Genomic DNA, 19,467 nt, shown 5'->3' with positions numbered 1-19,467 from the left:
CATCAACTCAGTCTTCAGCTGTGGTCACTGTGGGACCCACCAGACATGTGAGGTCCCCAGTCTGGGAGTGGGGACCAGTCTGAGTAGTCCCTGAAGGAACAGTCTCTCTGGGTGTTCTCAAGGACCACATACTAGAGCTCATTTGCTCCTTTCTGGTAACCTGAGCAAATGAAGCCCCTTCCTGTACTGACAGCCCAAAATTGGGGAATCTGTTGTCCCTTTAACTAAGACATGATCTCCATGAGCACAGAAGCTGCTTTGGAATCAACAGATCATTTCCCCTGAACCATTTTCTCACTCAACTGGTTTTATTTCTTAAGCTGATTCACCAGCCACAGTGAGCTTTGAGTAGACCAAAGCTGTCATGAGATTTGTTTTTTTTTTTTAAGAAAACTGGGCATTTTGTGTCCCTGAATTATCCCAGGAGGCTGATCTGAAGGGGTGGCCTGCCCCTCCACACCTGTGGGTATTTCTAGTTGGGTGGGACAAGAGACTGAGAAAAAAAATAAGACACAGAGACAAAGTATAGAGAAACAATAGTGGGCCCAGGGGACCGGCGATCAGCATACCAAGGACCTGCACCAGCACCGGTCTCTGAGTTCCCTCAGTTTTTATTGATTATTATTTTCATTATTTCAGCAAAAAGTAATGTAGTAGGAGAGCAGGGTAATAATAAGGAGAAAGTCAGCAAAAAACATGTGAGCAAAAGAATCTATGTCATAATTAAGTTCAAGGGAAGGTACTATGCCTGGATGTGCACGTAGGCCAGATTTATGTTTCTCTCCACCCAAATATCTCAGTGGAGTAAAGAATAACAAGGCAGCATTGCTGCAAACATGTCTCGCCTCCCACCATAGGGCGGTTTTTCTCCTATCTCAGAAGTGAACAAATGTACAGTCGGGTTTTATACTGAGACATTCAGTTCCCAGGGGCAGGCAGGAGACAGTGGCCTTCCTCTATCTCAACTGCAAGAGGCTTTCCTCTTTTACTAATCCACCTTAGCACAGACCCTTTACAGGTGTCGGGCTGGGGGACGGTCAGGTCTTTCTCATCCCACGAGGCCATATTTCAGACTATCACATGGGGAGAAACCTTGGACAATACCCCACTTTCAAGGGCAGAGGTCCCTGTGGCTTTCCACAGTGCCCCTGGTTTATTGAGACTAGAGAATGGTGATGACTTTTACCAAGTATACTGCTTGTAAGCATTTTGTTAACAAGGCAAGTCCTGCACAGCCCTAGATCCCTTAAACCTTGATTTCATACAACACATGTTTTTGTGAGCTCCAGTTTGGGTCAAAGTGGCTGGGGCAAAGTGGCTGGGGCAAAGCTACAAATTAACATCTCAGCAAAGCAATTATTTAAAGTACAGGTCTTTTTCAAAATGGAGTCTCTTATGTCTTTCCTTTCTACATAGACACAGTAACAGTCTGATCTCTCTTTCTTTTCCCTACATGATCATATAGAGGTCTCTGGCCCTTGACCCCACTGTGCTTCCAGGTGCCCAGAACAGCCCATCATAGGCCCTTTCCCCTTGGCAGGTGGACATTGTTCATCCTCCTGAAGCAAGCATGTGCCCATCTTGGCGCATTTGAAGACAGACCTTGCTGTCCAAGCCCCCCTGTTCTCATATCCTCAGGCAGGAACTCACCCTTGGACAGGGGCAGAGACTCCAGAGACCCTGGTCGGGGGTGAGGACTGGGTCTGGGCTTTTGTTCCTGGTGACAGAATGTGGTCACCTTGCTGGCTTTTGAGACCCAGGCAGGACCCTGGTTTAGGGTGTTCTCTGAAGTTTTCAAATGCAGTGTAATATCTTTTTCTTGCAGGATGGACATGGAGCAGGATGTGGACACCCTCTTACCCAGAATCAAGGGGACATTATTGCCAAGTATGAGGGGACACAGGGCAGGCTGCTCGTTCGAAGGGGCAGGGGGATCACCACTCCTTCTGTGCTGTAGTCAGAGGGTCCTAGGCCCACTTGGGACACAGGGCAGGGAGTGGCTGCACACAACCCCATGCCTCTGCATTCCACAGCTTGGCCCCCCTCACATTGACCCCTCTGCATTGCAGGGATGCCAGGCCAGGGTGCCAGTGGACATAAGGCAGGAAGATTTTTTAATCTAGAAAATCACCAATTATCTCCAGATTCTGTAGTGTGTCTTCTGTCTCCTGAGCCCCCACCCCCAGCAATCTCGTCTCAGCAATAGGTTTTATTTTGAAAAAGGCCTCTCTGAGGAAGGACATGTCTCAAGTCCACCTCCTTCCCAGGATTGGAACTCCTCCCCAGGTGCCCTGCAAATCCAGTCCAAGGTCAGTGTTAGGCCAGAGCTGAGTATCCCAATGTGGGAACCCAGAGAGCAAGTGGAGACAGAAATATGGCTGGTCTAAGCCCCTAGGCTCTCCAAGGGGGACAGCAGCGCAGTCCAGTCTCCAAGTCAACAAGAGAGGAGGGGGCCAGCCTGAGGGGCCAGCCTGCTCCCTTGGAGCCTGCCCTGGAGATCTGCAGGGTCTAGCCATGGGACAAAGGGGTGCTTGGAATGGTCTGTGGGTAGTTGTCCAGCAGGTCTCTGAGAGCTAAAGGAGCCCAGCCCTGCCATCCCACAGGGAGGGGTACAGGGGCAGCCAAAGCTGTGGCCCTGGGAGGAGAAGATGGTCAGGGCCCTGGCTTGGGCATCTCATGGGAAAGGCAAGGAGGCAGCAGAGCTTGCAGCCAAGGTGATCTAACCAAGGGTTTCATGGTAAGAGGGGATCTGAGGTCTGGTGGGAGGGGCCCAGTATAAAGTCTGTCCCTGTAGGGGTCATTGGAGGAGCTGAGGTAGTGGTGACACAATGGAACTGATGACTTTGGGATGCATCTGGATGGAGCCAGCCTGTGGAGAGTGGATGGAGCTGGGAAGGGCAGGAGATTTGGTGAAGCCAAGAGCAGGGACTTACCTGGGACCCCTCAGCAGAGAAGCTTTAGTCAGTCCCAAAGCTCTGGAACACCCTCTAGAGACCCAGCTCCCTGCTGGCTTGGTCAGCACCATGGCCAGAGGGAAGACTGGGGAGACTGAGTCAGAAAAGAACAGTGGGAGGAGGACAGCCAGGTGCCCCGTGTCAGGGCTGCTGCAACAGGAGGGAGGAAGCTGTTGGCTGAAGACCCTAAATACCATCTGAGGCTGGGGACTGGGTTCAGGGCCATTCCGGTTGCCTGTGAAACCCTCAGTCACCCTCATTGCCCCTGGTGTCCACCAGCAGTGCTGAGCAGCCCAGTTAAAAAGTGGACAAGGAAGGTGTGTGGATGGATCTCGGGGGTTCTTGCTCAGACGTTCTGACAAAACAAGGATAAAGGAAGAACAGGGGTGCCTAAAGAGACAGGAACCAAGACATGGCATGGTTTCCAGGCAGACAGGCTAGAGAAGTAAAGTAACAGGAAGGGTGGGTAGCCAGTGTACAGGGAGAGGCAGGTTAGATAGTCAGACCCTGCGATGGCTGTGGGGCCATCGGGCAGACAGGCTCCAGGGGCCTTAACACACTGGGCAGTTCTCAGGCCAGGTTCCCTGCACCACAACCTGAGGATGTGGTCACTTCCTGGGGTCTTCTCTCAAGGTCCAGACACACAAACCTGGGCAGCACTGGCCCACCTCAAGACTAGAGTTTCTTTGTTCCCAAAGAGGACGCTAACTCCAATTCAGGAGGGGCAACCCCATTGGGTAACCCAAACCCCCATGAATCCCAAGCAGCACCTGCCCAGCCCTGTGCTTCCTCTGTTCCCATTTCCCAGCCTCTCCTGGGTATCAGCCAGCAGGGAGGCTGAGACCTGGGGTGGATGTGGATGGGGCTAGTCCTTTCCTGGGGCCTGCTCAGGGAGGGGGATGGCCCCTGGCCTGGTGCAGATCTTCAGCTCTCTTCACTGCCTTACAGTGACAGAGCTGCCCCTGTCAGTGCCCTGAAGACAAAGGTAACAGCCTGTACCTGCTACATGGGAGGCTCACCCATCAATGGGCAACTTGGTGGCTGGTCAGTGAAACAGATGGTGTGGCCTGTGGGCCTGGGTGGTGGTGAGAGGGAGCCACATGCCCTCAATGGGAGAGGCCATAATTCCTGCTGAATCTCAACCCAAGCCTTGTCCCTGCAGTTGTTTTACCAAACCCGCCACAAAGATTCAGGGTAGCGGCTTGGGGGTCACTGCCCACTGGGCACCAGGACCCCACCTGGAGGCTGAGATCTGATTAGGGCATCTGTGGCCTGAGAATAGTGTGTCCTGTGTTCCAGAGGTTGGGTCACCGGTACCTACTCAGTCAGAGGGTCTCAGTCACAAGATCTGCCCTTTTCTGGCTCCTTCCAGTTCAGCCCCATCAAGGCCCCTAATGACTGACCAGGCAAACAAGAGAAGCAAACTTCTCCAGAGAAAAAGCCTCCTTCAGAAGCACTGACTGTGTTATGTTGCTGTGTGCGGCAGTGAGTTTCATGTCTGTGATGAGGCTGGTTCCTCCTCATGGCCCTGCCATATTGGAAATGAAGGAGCAGGGCAAGAAGTCCTCAGTGATGACGTGATCCAGCATCCAAGAACCACTCCCGGAAGCCTGGCAGCTCAGCTAACTCCATCATTTCTCATTTATGGCAAAAACATCAGGCTATTGGATGCAAAGATAAATGGCTACAAAGGCTTAACCACTGAAATAAATCTAAGAGCAGCAAGAAGGCACAATGGAGAGTGAGGGTCCCCTGTGACCACTCTCCAGAGTTGGGGGACAGGCACCCCTTGCTGTTTCTTGGTACTGCCTGCCTCTCAGACAGCAGGTGGCACACTGTCCTCACCCAAAAGACAACAGGCCTGGTCCCCAACTTTCCTGCCTATCCCTGCAAGGGTTACCTTGCTGGGAGACAATCTGATGTGAGAGCTCTTGTTCACTCTTGATTCATGGGAAGGGAGGCCTGGTCCTAGGTAGACTCAACCTCTCCTGAGGAACCACAAGGCCAAAGGCTGGAAGGTTCCAGAATCCTTAGATTCTTATCATCCTTGGGGTCATCCTGACACCTGCCTCACCAGAGCATTCTTCTGTCCACAGATGTCTCAGCAGGTATACAAGGGAATCCCCCCACAGGTATGGGGTCCAGCGTGGTCACTCCTGCTGGATGCCAAGAAGGTGAAGGCCAAGAATCCAGCAATACACCAGGTCAGGCCCTTCCACACCCAGCCAGCGCACAGACATGTCACACCATGTCAGGAGCCCAGTTAACCAGCTGGAGGGAACATCGAGCCTGGCAGTTAGGGGGTCAGTAGCACATCCTGGGCACAGACAGTGACATGGACACCACAAGTGAGCTGGGCTCTGGTGACATTCTGTGACTTAAGAAACAAGCAAGAGAAGCAACTATCTGCAGAGAAAAACCCTCCTTTCCTACAAAGGCACTGACTTTGTCATGGTGCTGTGTGCAGCAGTGAGTCTCCTGTCTGTTCTGAGGCTGGTTCCTGCTCTTGGCCCTGCCCTATAGACAATGAAGGAGCAGGGCAAGATGTCCTCAGTGAAAATGAACCTGGATATGAGCCACATTTTGAGAAACATTTCATGTTCTGGGAGGTTCCAGGGGAGGTGGGGAATCCAGAGGGATCGGGGCATCTGGGGGAATATGAAGAGGTCTCATGGCAGAGGTAGGGGTCTCAGAGCAAGGAGTGACAGCTCAGGCCACTGCCTGGAGTTCTGGCGTCTGGAGGGGTCTGCAGAGGGGCCTGGAATAGAGAGGTTCTCGGGGCAGCCCAGAGGCCTGTGAAGACCTCTGCTCCTTTCATGAGGACAAGGAAGTGCTGTGCATCTAGGTTTTCACCTTAAAACAGCTCCCACAGCACTTGATCGATGGGGCAAGGATACACAGGAAGACCCTGGGCCAGGAACGCTCCTTCCACACAATGTCTGGCTTTCTGGGCCAGAGGTCTGGCTCCCTCAGAAGGACCCAGGTCCCTTCCTTCGAGCAGGAGGCAAAGGCAGGTCCCTGCAGGGCACACAAACCAACAGTGCCCCTGAGAGGGGGTGTCCCATGGAAGAGGCCAGTGCTCAGGGCCATCATCATGGGCAGATTGGGCCAGGACTCCTTTTGGGAGAGCCCAGGAAAGCCCAAAGCCCTTGGGAAGCCCCTTCTTCCAGGAGCCACATGCCACTGAGATGAGTCCAGCCCCATGAGGAACTACAGGACCTTGTCTAACCCAGCCTCATAGAGGAGGGGGTCACATCCCATGCAGAGGGAGCCCCTGGCACTACAGACGGAGCTCCTAGTAGACCACTGGCCTCTAATCTTGAAGGGCCAGGTCCTCCCATGCCTGCTGTCCGCACATATCCACTTTGGGCTCATTCTGAGGCTCTGGGATGTCTGCCTTCTAAAGAACAAGTGCATGCTCACAGCCAGGGCATACACAGCCAGTAAAGGTGCACACAACCTATGTGCCTGAGGGAGCTCCAGGGGAACACATAGGAAGACCCCAACTGTCCTAAGGGACACATTCACACTGTCCATATGACCCTCTGCTCTGGCCTGGATGGAGGGTCAGGCCTGGTGGGCTTGGCAGGGCACCGTGATTCCTCCCAGACACCAAACCCATCCCTGACATGGCACAGATGAAGGGCAGGAGTGTGGCGAGTACTTCCCTACAGAGATCTCCCACCCACCATGGCCTCCTGTGCACACCTGGATCTCATGGGTGACCAAACACGACCAGCACTGCCCAAAGGGAGGTGCCTAGGAAGGAAATAGAGTGCAGGCACTGATCCCTCCCAGAGGACCCCTCTCCCAGCATGACGCCCACCTCCATCCCCAGAACGCCTCCTAAAGCTGTCCTAGTTCAGCTTGGTGGAGCTCCTTCAGGACATGCTGTCCTGGGCCTGGGGTCGGGAGGATGACGTGGTGCTGAGGCACCTTCAAGGCCTCCATGGTGCCTTGGAGAGGGATCCAGGCATCCCAGAGAGGATTCAGGGAAAGGGCACAAGTGGGCCCGTGGCCTGGAGCCAGACGGAGTTCAGCTGAGCATGGGAACTCATGGCATTGAGTGGATGGTGCTGGATTGCTGAGGGACCCAGTGCCCAGGGGCGTCTTACCCACTATGGAGACAGGCCATTATATTAGGTGGCAAGGAGGCCAGGTGACAGTTGCAGTTTCTCCCAGCTGAGTTCTGGACTAGGGTCCAAGCCCAGACCAAGCAGGCCCTGGGGTGAGGGTGTGAGGCAGGGAGCCCTGAGCCAGCCTGAACCCTGAGGAGCCATCCCAGGAGCACCCTGATGTGCTTTGACAGCACCCATGCCCAGATTGCACACATCCCTTGCTCTAAAATTAGCAGCCTGCAGGGGTATCCTCAGTGTCAGAACAAGTGGGCCACACAAGGTCCTCAAGGACTCCAGGGACCTAGGTTCATGAGGCCCAGCCTTGTAAGGGCCAGATGGGCTAGGTGGAAACGCTGACCAAGTCTGCTTCCTTTCAGCCAAATACGTGGGGTTCCCCAAGAGGGCCCTTTGCCTGGAGTGAGTGTCCCTGACACCCAGGCCTCTGTGAGCATCTCTCAACACAAAGGCCCTCTCCAAGGGAGATGGGCTGGCCCTCCCAGGACCAGCAGCCCAGTTCCAGAAGCCCATGGGTCATCACCAACCTCATCTGGCTAGCGTGTCCCTGAGGCTACGGCAATCAGCATGCAGGGAGTTCCACAGAACCCAGGGCCGTAGGCTGCTCTCTGGGGCCCCAGGGGATCAGGGTCTGGCCAGCCTGTCCCTGGCTCAAGACACATGCCTGGGAATTGGGGTTTTCTCCTCTGCTCTTAGCATCGCCTGGGTAAACCAACAGTTACCCTCCCTCATGACTCAACATTCACATCCATGAAAAAGGCACCCGGTGAGGGTGACCTTTCCAGGAAGCCACAGCCCATGTTATTCCTGCCAAGCTCTAAACTTGTCTGTGGGAGGGCCAAACTGCGAATTCTCCCAAAAGCAGCTGAACTGAGGCTCTGGCTGGGCGGCAGCACAATGGACAGTGTCTCAGTTCCACATCAGCTTCGGAAAGCAGGCAGCTCCCTGGGCTTGGTGAGGCGCGATGACCAGGAAAGACCCCGGGAGTGCGGGTGGGAGAGGAAACTGAGCTGAGCAGTGAAAGGAGAGGTGAGGATGATTGGGCAGAGGTGAAGTGCACTTCGTAGCATCAAATCTTGCTAATTGTACCTCAAGTCCCTCTCCGGACTTACTCCCCTTAGCCAGGGGTGGCACAGAATCAGTGACCGGCATTGCTTTGGAAGCAGAAAGGTACACGCTGCCTTCTTACCCATCCCTCCCAGGCAGCACACCACCCTGGCTTATGCTGGGACTACAGTCAGCGGCCCTGAGACCCACGGCCAGAAGCGGTTAAGAAACTACTACTCCCTGCACGCCCTGCGAGGAGCACACTGCACTGACCCTCCCTCCAGAAATGCTCACTGTCCAGGCATGCTGGGAATGTGGTCCAGCTTCCCTCAGACCAACGGGCAAAAGCGGTTAAGAGACTACTATTCCCTGCATGCCTCGCAAGGAGGACAAAGCTCTGTGCTTCCCTCAAAATACCCGCACCACCCCCAATCCCGGTGCATGCTGGGATTTCAGTCTGGCATCCCTGCGACCAAAGGCTGAAAGCGGTAAGAGACTACTACTACCTACCTGCATGCCTGGGGAGGGGCGCACCACTGCTGTCCCACCCGCAAGGTAACGGCACCTCCCCAAATCCCAGGGCATGCTGGGATTGTAGTCTGGAAAGCAGGCTACCAAAAGCCAATAGCGGTTAAAAGATTACTACTCTTGGCCTGGCACAGTGGCTCACGCCTGTAATCCCAACACTTCGTGAGGCCGAGGCAGGCGGATCACCAGGTCAGGAGTCACGAGGTCAGGCGTTCGAGACAAGCCTGCCCAACATGGTGAAACCCCCGTCTCTACTAAAATTAGCCGGGTATGGTGGTGCATGCCTGTAGTCCAATCGCAGGAGGCTGAGTCAAGAGAATCGACTGAACCCGGGAGGCAGAGGTTGCGAAGGTTGCAGCGTGCCGAGAGCCGAGATGGTGCATCGCACCACTGCACTCCGGCCTGGGTGACACAGCGAGACTCTGTCTCAAAAAAAAAAAAAAAAAAAAAAAAAAAAGATTACTACTTTTAGCATGCCTGGCAAGAGGAGCAAAGCGCTGCCCCTCCCTCAAGGTACCCGCACGACCCCAACGACCCCCCCAACCCCGGTGCATGCCAACTCACGTGCATTCTGGGACCGTTGCTACCCACAAGACGCCCAACGACACCCCAACCCCGGTGCATGCCAACCCCGGTGCATGCTGGGACCGGTGGGATTGTAGAGACTACTTCTCCCAGCATGCCAGGTGAAGAGCGCACAGCGCTGCCCCACCCTCACAGCACAACTTCCAATCCCCGTTGGGGATTGTAGTCTGGCTGCTTGCCAAAAGGTGTTGAGAGACTACTACTCTGCATACAGTAAGAAGCACACAGCGATGCCCCTCCCTCCAGGGATCCTTATGGTCCCCAGTCCTGGTTCATGCTGAGAAGGTACTCTCCCAACTCTGTGACCAACAGGCCAGGCGCCTATGCTCCCAGCATTCCCAGTCCTCTTCCGCTGCTTCCCTCCATGCATCCAGTGCAGTTTCACAGTACAGAGGGGAGCTTAGCTTCCAAACCAAGCTAAGCTGGGAGGAACAGCAGGAGAACAGCCTGGAAAGCAGGCCCACCCAGAAGCAAAGGAATCGGATGTCCCTCAAGAATGAGATAGGAAGTGCAGATAAAATGCAACATCGCCTTTCCTAGAAGGCAAAGGCCAGCCACAGTCACCCACCGCTCATCCTAGACTGAAACAAACCACGCAGCCATCAGGTGGGACATGGAGACCAAGGGAGCTTCCCTGTCCAAGACAGGTATGGAAGCCCAGAGGATCATGGCACCTGCCTAATCGACCAGAAATAGGTTTGGAGAGGGAAACAACTGTGAAACGGATCTCCACGAAATTTCTCCCTCACGGACTCCAAAGTGTTCTTTGTTGAAGACTTTAAGCCAGACCAAGCCTCTAGGCTCCTATGGCAGATAGAGCAAGAGGGAGTACAGAGCAGAGGCCACAGCCCAGGCAGGATACAGCACAATGCCACTACCATGCGCATCCAGGAAGAAGTGCCAAATGGGAGACTGGGCCAGAAAGGCCAGATTTAAGTCACAGAGATCCTTGCCGCGTCCCGTTCCCGGCTTCTTCTCCAAGACTGTCGCGGTGGGGCTACATTTCTTAATGAGAGGAGAAGGTGGGAGGTGGGAGGAGTTAGAACCATCTTCTTTGATGTTGGTCTGCACGCACTCCTGCAGGACAATAAGCTCCTGGGAGGCTTTGGTCCTTGGGTGTGGTGTGGTTGTCTTGATCCTCGAAAGTAGGACGCTCAGGATGGGGAGGTTTCAATCCCTGTGGGACCAACGCAGCTCCCCAGGTCGAACCGGCCTTCACAAACCTAAAGTGGAACCGCCAGGAAAACTACTGACAACCGGCCACACCACCCAGGCAGAGAACCAGAAAGAGGCTCACCAAACACAGGCCGACATGCAAGAAACCACCCTCCAGCACACAGGGCACATTCGTCCCAAACACACATGCACACGGGCACACACAGAGAAAGAGAGACCGAGACAGAGAGACAAGGAGAGAAAGGGAGACACACAAACACACACAGACATAAAGCAGTGGCACGGAAACAGTCACCCCCAGGCAGCCCCTGAGGCTGCTAGGTTCTGCTCTCCGTGAGGACGTCTCTCAGGTAAGAGAGTAGCCCACGGGTCCACAGTCGGGCCTGTCCTTGAGATCACAGGGGGCACGACTTGTGAGGAGACTCACTGGACACCGTCCGGGAAGGCCTGAAGCTGGGATGGTGCGCTGCTTCCCCATGACTCCTCTGCCTGAGGTTTCCTCACCTGGTCGGCCCTCCGCGACTCCTGGCGTCCGGAGACCATCCTGTTGACCCCTGGGAGAGGTCAGGCTGGAGCCTCGATACCGACGCACTGCCACAGTGGGCTCCTGCTTCGCCCAGCCTCATGGACCCATCACTCGAGCGACGGTGGGAGTCACTGTGCCTTGAGAAATCAGCTCGTGCACCGCGCATGCGCATTGGCTAGGCCGACTTGCGCTCCGCTCCTGTTAAGTCAGGTTGCAGCCCCTTTAAGGAATGGCGACGGGGCCGGGCTCCACCACCCTGGCTAACAAGGTGAAACCCCGATTCTACTAAAACTACAAAAAATTTGCCGGGCGTAGTGGCACGCGCCTGTAATCCCAGCTACTCTGGAGACTGGGGCAAGAGAATCGCTTGCACCAGAGAGGTGGAGGTTGCAGTGAGCCGAGATCGCGCCACTGCACTCCAGGCTGGGCGACAGAGCGAGACTCCATATCAAAAAAAAAAAAAAAAAAAAAAAAAGATGGCGACGATCCGGGGGCGGTGGCTCACGCCTGTAATCCCAGCACTCTGGGGGGCCGAGGCAGGCGGATCACCTGAGGTCAGGAGTTCGAGACCTGCCTGACCAACATGGTGAAACCCCATCTCTACTAAAAATACAAAAATTAGCCAGGCGTGGTAACACACGCCTGTAATCCCAGCTACTCAGGAGGCTGAGGCAAAAGAATCGCTGGGACCCGGGAGGTGGAGGTGGCAGTGAGTGGAGATCATGCCACTCGAGTCCAGCCTGGGCGACAGAGGGAGACTCTGTCGCAAAAAAAAAAAAAAAAAAAAAAAAAAAAAAATGGCGATGGCGCGGCATGGCAGCGGCTTCAGCTGCGGTGGTGGTGACAGAAGCTGGGGACGGGTAGGGGGAAGCATGAGTGGGGGGGCTGCACACGAGCCAGGACCAGGCCCCAGGATTCCTGTCCCCAAGGCCTCCATGAGCCATCTTCCGCTTCGGTGCCCGGTGGAGGAGGAGCTTCAGGACATTAGCAGAGACTCCTCTTCGGATCCTATTTTGGATCCCACCAGGTGAACAGGGATGGGCTCACAATCTGGTGAGGCAGGGAGGGCATGGCTGAGGCACAGAAAGATATCATGGGCCTCAAGGTGTGGTGTCAGCTGAAAATTCACTGACCCATGAGCCCACTGCCTCCCTCCTCCTTGGGTGGAGCAGTGGCCTGCCAAGGTCTCCAAAGCTCAGGGGCTCCTGCATCCTGACACTGCTTTCTGGGACACATGCAAACAGGGACAAGGGCGAGCCTGACATGGAGCAAATCTGACCACATGTGGCACTGGCATCCCCTAAGAGCAGATGGAGTGAGTGTCTCCGAAGCCATATGGGGCAATGAAGAGACCAACAATTATGTCCAGGCATGTGCCCCGGGGGCACAGGTGACCTGCCCAAGAAAGCCAAAGAAAAGCAAAGCACACCTGGGAACTAGGAAAGGGCCTGTGCTGCAGTCCAAGCCACATTTGGGGATGCCTGCCTGAGGAGATAAGAGGTTAATGGAAAGTACACCCCACCCCCACTCCTCTACCAGCTAGGTATCCCTGATGCAACCTCCCCTGCACCCAGCCCAAGCCCAGTCCGTTTGACTCCCCAACACAAGGCAACCTCCCCTGCACCCAGCCCAAGCCGGGTCCCTTTGCCTCCCAGTCCCACCCAGGAGCAGAGGAACTGGATGTCCCTCAAGAATGAGACAGTAAGTGCAGATGAAATGCAACACAGCCTTTCCTAGAAGACAAAGGCCAGCCACAGTTGCCTACTGCTCATCCTAGATCTAGACAAACCACGCAGCCATCAGGTGGGACATGGAGACCAAGGGAGCTTCCCTATCCAAGACAGGTATGGAAGCCCAGAGCTCCAGGATCGTCACACCTGCCCAATCAACCAGAAATAGGTTTGGAGAGGGAAACAACCATGAAACAGATCTCCACGAAGTTTCTTCTGATGGACTCCAAAGTGTTCTTTGTTGAAGACATTATGCCAGACCAAGAAGACTCTAGGTCCCTCAGAAACATGGCAGATAGAGCAAGAGGGAGGAGAGAGCAGATGCCAGAGCCCAGATGGGATACAGCACAATGCTACAGCCATGGGCATCCAGGAAGGAATGTCAACTGGGAGACTTGCCAGAAAGGCCAGTGTTTGAGTGAAAGAGGCCCTTGCCACATCCTGTTCCTGGCTTCTCCAAGCCTGTGTCGTGGTGGGGCCACATTTCATTTTTCTTCTTCTTCTTTTTTTTTCTTTGAAAATAAGTCTCGCTCTTGTCCCCCAGGCTGGAGTGTAATGGCGCGATCTCAGCTCACTGCAACTTCATCTTCCGGGGTTCAAGCGATTCTCCTGCCTCAGCCTCCTGAGTAGCTCGGATTACAGGCGTGAGCCACCGCGCCCTGCCAGGGCTACATTTCTTAATGACAGGAGAAAGCATGAGGACTTAGAACCAACTTCTTTGATGTCGGTCTGCACCCCTCCTTCAGAAGGACAATGAGCTCCTGGGAGGCTTTGGTCGTTGGGTGTGATGTGGTTGTCTGATCCTAGAAAAGAGGCCGCTCAGGATGGGAAGAAGATTTCAACCCCTGCGTGTCCGACGCAGCTCCCAACGTCGCTGAGGCCTTCAGAAACCCAAAGTGGCATCGCTAGGAAAACGACTGACAACCGGTCACACGACCCAGGCAGAGACCCAGAAAGAGGCTCACCAAAGACAGGCTGACATACAAGAAACCACCCTCCAGCGCACAGGGCACATTAGTCCCAAACACGCACACGAACACACACAAAGAAAGAGACAGAGAAACAGGAGAGAAAGAGAGACATACACACACAGAGACATACAGCAGTGGCACAGAAACACCCACCTCCAGGCAGCCCCAGAGGCTGCCGGGTTCTGCTCTCGGCAAGAATGACCCTCGGGTAAGAGAGCAGCCCACAGGCCCACAGTCAGGCCTGTCCTCGAGATCACAGGCGGCACGACTTGTGGTGAGACTCTCCCACACACCATCTGGGGCAGGCCTGAGGCTTGGATGGCGCGCTGCTTCCCCGGGACCCCTCTACCTGAGGTTTCTTCATCCCGGTCGGCCCTCCGCGACTCCCGGCGTCCAAAAACCATCCTGTCGACCCCCGGGAGAGGTTAGGCTGGAGCCTTAACGCCTAGGCACTGCCACGGAGGGCTCCTGCTTCTCCAAGCATCAGGGACCCATCCATCCCCTGGGCGATGATGGGGGTCACTGTGACGCGAGAATCGCCTCGTGCCTCGCACATGCGCATTTTCTAAACCGAATCTAGTTGGGCTCCTGGAAGTCAGTTTGTGGCTTCCTCAAAAATGGCAGCGCCTGCTGCGGTGGCGGGGGCTGCGGGGACTGCAGCATCCGAAGCTGGGTGGGGGGCATATAGGGGGATGCATGAAAGAGTGGGCTGCCTTACTACCCAGTGCCAGTCCCCTGGGAGTCCTGTACTCTGGACCTCCTTGAACCTTCTTCGGTGCCCGGTGGAGGTGGAGCTTCAGGGCATTCCAGACTCCTCTTCCCATGGGATTTTGGGTCCCGCAGAGCGAGCAGGGATGGGGTTACAATCTAGTGAGGCTGGGACAGCCTCCCTGGGGCACAGAATGATCCCATGGGCCTTAAGGCGTGGTGTCATGAGCTCACTGCCTTTCTCCTCCCTGGCCAGAACAGTGGTCTGCCGGGTCTTCAAAGCCGGCCTGCGAGGAAACAACTTGACCAGATCCACTGTCTGTGACATCTCATCTTCCCAGCATTCCTCCTTCAAGGCTCATTTCCAAAGCTTGATTTTCCGCAGACCAGCGTGAGGCGGGGAGCCTCTCATAGCATTGTCAGTAGGGTTGCCATAGTAACGCTAGTCATCCGCTGGGCTCACCTCGCCCTTGCACTCTGACCCCCATTCCCTCACCTTTCCCATTGCCATGCCCCTCCCAACATAGGCAGTGCAAGAGGGGCTTAAGACCTGCAGGCGGGCCAGTTCTCTTGGCGTCTTTCGATCCCACGTGGGAAGCTCCCTTCTGGGTATCTAAAACCGTCAGTTCACTGCCTGAAGTGAAAACACCCAGTCCCTGGTAACCTGGCCTTCCCTTTTCAAAGCCACCTAAATTTAGCTCTATCTCTTTGGGGTGTCACAAATCCCCCAGCACCCCAGGAACACCCATTGGACCCCGGGCTGGATGCGTGGCCCACACCTGGCCTCTCACAGGGACACTCCCGCCACTGTTATAAAGAGAAGAAAACGTCACAGGCGAATGGTCTGACCCCTGCTGCATCCAATCAGCAAACAGCCCTAAGTGGCTTTGGGGTCCACGTCCACCATTTCTCTGACACCCACCCGGTGGTTCCCAGGCCTTGGGGTCCCAGTGTGGAACTCAGCATAATTAACGCAGAACAGGAGGACCAGAGGGCCCCTTTGTCTCTCTCCACACATGAGGGAAGTTTGTGTGGTGAGGTCATGGACAGTGTTTGCATTTATGCCATGAATAGGGCTGTAGTGGAAACACTTTGATAATCTCTATTTAAATATCCCTTTGGACCACTTTAATAGTTTGCTGGGGGACCTTATTATAAAATATTATATATGGTTACACAGTGATAACAGTGATAACTCTCTTGATTCATTTTTTTTCATTTAGTTTTAAACATTAAGTACTCCAAGACTACATACTAATGAAACCGGTGTAGACAAAGCCTCAGATTAGGTACCAGGGTCACCTGTGGAAGGTCCTTGCTGAAGCCAGTCAGCCTATCAGCCTGTCCCTCAGGCCCAGCAGTATAAGTCGTTCCTCCAAGTCATTCAGTTGGCTGGCAGTAACCCCTGGTAGGATTCTGGAAGGCATCTGCTTTTCATCTTAGATTTTAAAACTCAGGGTGAAAAGTTTTCAAGACTTAAAAGCCCAAGTCTTTTATATTTTTAGTGTAATTTGGGGTATTAGAAAATCAGTATTTTCAGCATCTCTGAAATCACAATGCAAAAACAGCCCCAGTTTCATAAGGCCAACTCTTGGTATCTCTGTTCTGCAAAGTAGGGTAAGATGATGCCACAAAAGGCAGGTTGTATGCAACATTATCCTCACTCCAACAGAACTATCACACTTTAATCCAGGGGATCTTTAAATTATAAGACATAAAGAAAACCTTTCTTGAGATGGAAAATTTTATAAATCAGAGAAAAGGCTTCTAGAACATAAGATTTACATCTTATAACAAATTATATGCCCTATTCTTTCCCTATTAATACATTAGTTTTTCCATAATACTTTTAATTTTTAGCTTGAAAATACCAGTTGCTTAAAAAAAAAAGAGACAAAACAAAACCCCAGAAATGTTTTTTTGTTTTGTTTTTGAGACAGGACTCTGTCACCCAGGATGGAGTGCAGTGGTCGGATCTCAGCTCACTGCAGCCTCAACCTCCCTGGCTCAAGCGATCTTCCCACCTCAGCCTCCTAAGTAGCTGGGACTACAGAGACATGGCACCACACCTGACTAATTTTTGTTTTTGTTTTTTGTAGAGATGGGGTATCACTGTCTTGCCCAGGCTAATCTTGAATTCCTGAGCTCAAGCGATCTACCTGCCTTCACCTCCCAAAATAATTACAGGTATGGGCCACCATCACTGGCCTAATTTTTTTAAGCTGATGAAGAAATAACCCACCAGTGCCTTCTGGGGAAAAGCTTTCAAGCAAAGCAGTCATTTTTGCTAGAGATTATAGAAGATGCTATCATGGTGAAATGGTGGAACTAATCCAGAACAATTCATAATCTTTTTTTCAGATCTTCACTCAAATCAGCCTCATGCACAAACATTCCTTACCCTCACTTCGGTAATACACTTTTGCCTCTCTCTCTTTTACACTTTCTCCCTGTAGCTGCTTTTTTGTGACTCCGTGGCAGGAAAAGAGAAAACATGCTATTTATAGAGCACTATTATGTGTCACGGACTATGGTAAATACCTTCAAGAAGAAAGTCTGGGCTAAAAGGGCTTCACCTCAGTCTAGAGGATGTACCTCACAGGGTCTTTGAACATTTGGTGACAGGCATTTTGGGCATGTCCTCTAGGCTGAGCTGTAGTCCTTATGGGACAAACTCACTCTGGAAGAAGCTCAAGTCCCACCTAAAGATTTCTGTCTCCTCTGTCTGGGGCTGTCAGCAGGGACAGAAGCCAAGAGCACCCTGCACTTGGGGATCGGCCATAGGAGCTGCTCCCCGGATGGAGAGATGGCAGTTAGCAGCACAGGATGGGGACAAAAGGTGAGTTCCAAACAGCTCTGTCACAGAGAGTGTCAGCAGAGCTTTGTGACATCAATTGCAAAGAGAGGGGGCATGTGACGGAAGAAGCCCTGAGTGATGAGTCACAGCCCATTCTGAGGAAAGGGAGAAGAAAGTAGCATCCTGAGGCTCTCTTGCCTTATTAACCCATTGCATTTATTCTCAGAGGCTCCTGCCTAAAATGAAGACATTATTCCACCTCCATCTCCTTTCATTCTAAGCCAGAAATATGTGTGAGTTATCATTCAAGTGCATGGAGGTCTGTATTTTCTTCCTCCTTAAATGATAATTTAATACTAATAAATTCCTCAAAATTTTTACCTTACATACGGGAGACAGAAGAAACAGGGCTTCAACACTGAGTTAATTAAAAATAATTCAAGCTAATTACTTTCCTTCACACCATAAATTTTGAACAGCGTTTTCATTATTCTTTGGGTGTTATAACATACATGCTTAAGCAGCCAAGCAAGCATCTCAATCTTTACTAATGATTCCAAGGAAAGGCAACTGTATTTCCTAAGGACAGTCAAAGTACGTGAAATGTAGAGGGTGAGGGAAGAAAAGGTGGTAGCTTGAGGTTCCAACATTCAATCAGGTTTAATTTATTTATTAATAAATAAATTATTTGTCCTGGTATATAATTCTATTATTTTTATTTTTGTTTGGTTTCTTTTTTCAGTTTTATTTTTGATTGACAAATAGTAATTTACATATTTATGGTATACAATGTAAAATTTCCATACATGAATACATTGTGTAATGATCAAATCAGAGTAACCATGATATTCACCACCTTAAACATGTATTACTTGATATGAATATTAATCAAATTAAAATGAAAATGTTTATCAGTGGTGTCCTTCCCTCAATTTGTTTTACACACACTAGTGTCTAAGGCTAGCGCTATCCACTTGTCCACTTCAGTGGGCTCTTTCAAGTTAAAGTTTTTGCTCTTGGAAAGAAATACTGCTCCTATCATTTTCTTCAGTCTCCAAATGTAAATGCACAATAAATGTTCTGGACAGTATAGAAAAATTACTAGACTGTGGATTCTGGTAAATTCCAAATCACATTAAATAGCAATAAAGGGTATCCACAGCCTCTTCCTTTATTCATGGATAATTATTTGTTAGCTGTGGTCATCAACACTTGGAATTCTCTGATTGACTAATCTTTCACTTTGTAATAAATGTTAAATATTATCTATATGATATATTATTTGCGTATTCTATTACCAAGGAGATGAATACTCTTTCATATGTGGTAAATTTTTTATTCATTTATTTTTACCATGAGCATTAATTTTTTTAATATTGTATGTATTGCAGATTTGTGTCTCAGTTTTTTGTCTTTTAACTCTCTAATTTTAATATATTTCGATTTGTTAGTTTCTTGTTTTCTCTTTTCCTTACATCAAAAACTGCCTATTCTTTGTCAAAAAATAACCCCACAGTGACTTCTGCAAGTTATCCAGTTGTATTTTGCACATTTGAATCTACAATCAATTGATTATTATGTATAGAATAGAGAGGAATGAATGCATTTTACTGATTAAGGCCAGGTGCAGTGACTCACACCTGTAATCCCAGAACTTTGGGAGGCCAAGGCGGGTGGATCATGAGACCAGGAGTTTAAGACCAGCCTGTCCAAGATGGTGAAACCCCGTCTCTACTAAAAATACAAAAATTAGCCAGGCACAGTAGCAGGTGCCTGTAATCCCAGCTCCTTGGGAGGCTGAGGCAGGAGAATCGCTTGAACCTGGGATGTGGATGTTACAGTGAGCAGAGATAGCACCACTGCACTCTAGACAGAGCAAAACTATGTCTCAAAAAAGATAAATAAAATTTAAAAAAGAAAGAAAAATCTTAAAAGTAGGGAGATAAAAAACAGAGGTAAGCCACAAATGTGTAGGTACCATCCACACAGCCTTGATAGAACCCAGAACAAAGAGAAGTAAGTATCGAGTATAAGAATATTTAGTCAAATATCATTAATAGATAAGGAAAACAATAAAACATTCTGAAAAATACAAAGACAAAAAGATTTTATTACCAGATATTCTTAATATTATACTTCAAAAAGAAATGAAAAAGAGACACTTGTAAACATATGGCAATATCTATCATGTAAATTAAACTCAAAATGAGAGAATTGGCATCATTAATTTAAAAACTATTTAGACACACTGAAACTGTAAGTCGATACATTTAAGTTAAATTAGATGGCAAGTTCTGTACTACTTAAATAAT

At 51.3% G+C, this 19,467-nt stretch overlaps 1 long non-coding RNA gene across 1 annotated transcript; it reads right to left on the bottom strand.

Annotated features, from left to right (window-relative positions):
- Window positions 1-524: 524 nt before the first annotated feature.
- Window positions 525-15,394, bottom strand: LOC105371197 (uncharacterized). Its single transcript, XR_942149.3, has 4 exons — window positions 14,000-15,394; window positions 10,928-11,147; window positions 9,816-10,470; window positions 525-9,084 (listed from the first exon to the last, which is right to left on the bottom strand). It is a non-coding gene; the product is annotated as an uncharacterized LOC105371197 (long non-coding RNA).

Source organism: Homo sapiens, chromosome 16, assembly GCF_000001405.40.
Source record: "Homo sapiens chromosome 16, GRCh38.p14 Primary Assembly".
NCBI lineage: Eukaryota > Metazoa > Chordata > Mammalia > Primates > Hominidae > Homo > Homo sapiens.
Note: the sequence above shows the minus strand (reverse complement) of the source record. Positions and strands in the feature narration are given on the sequence as shown.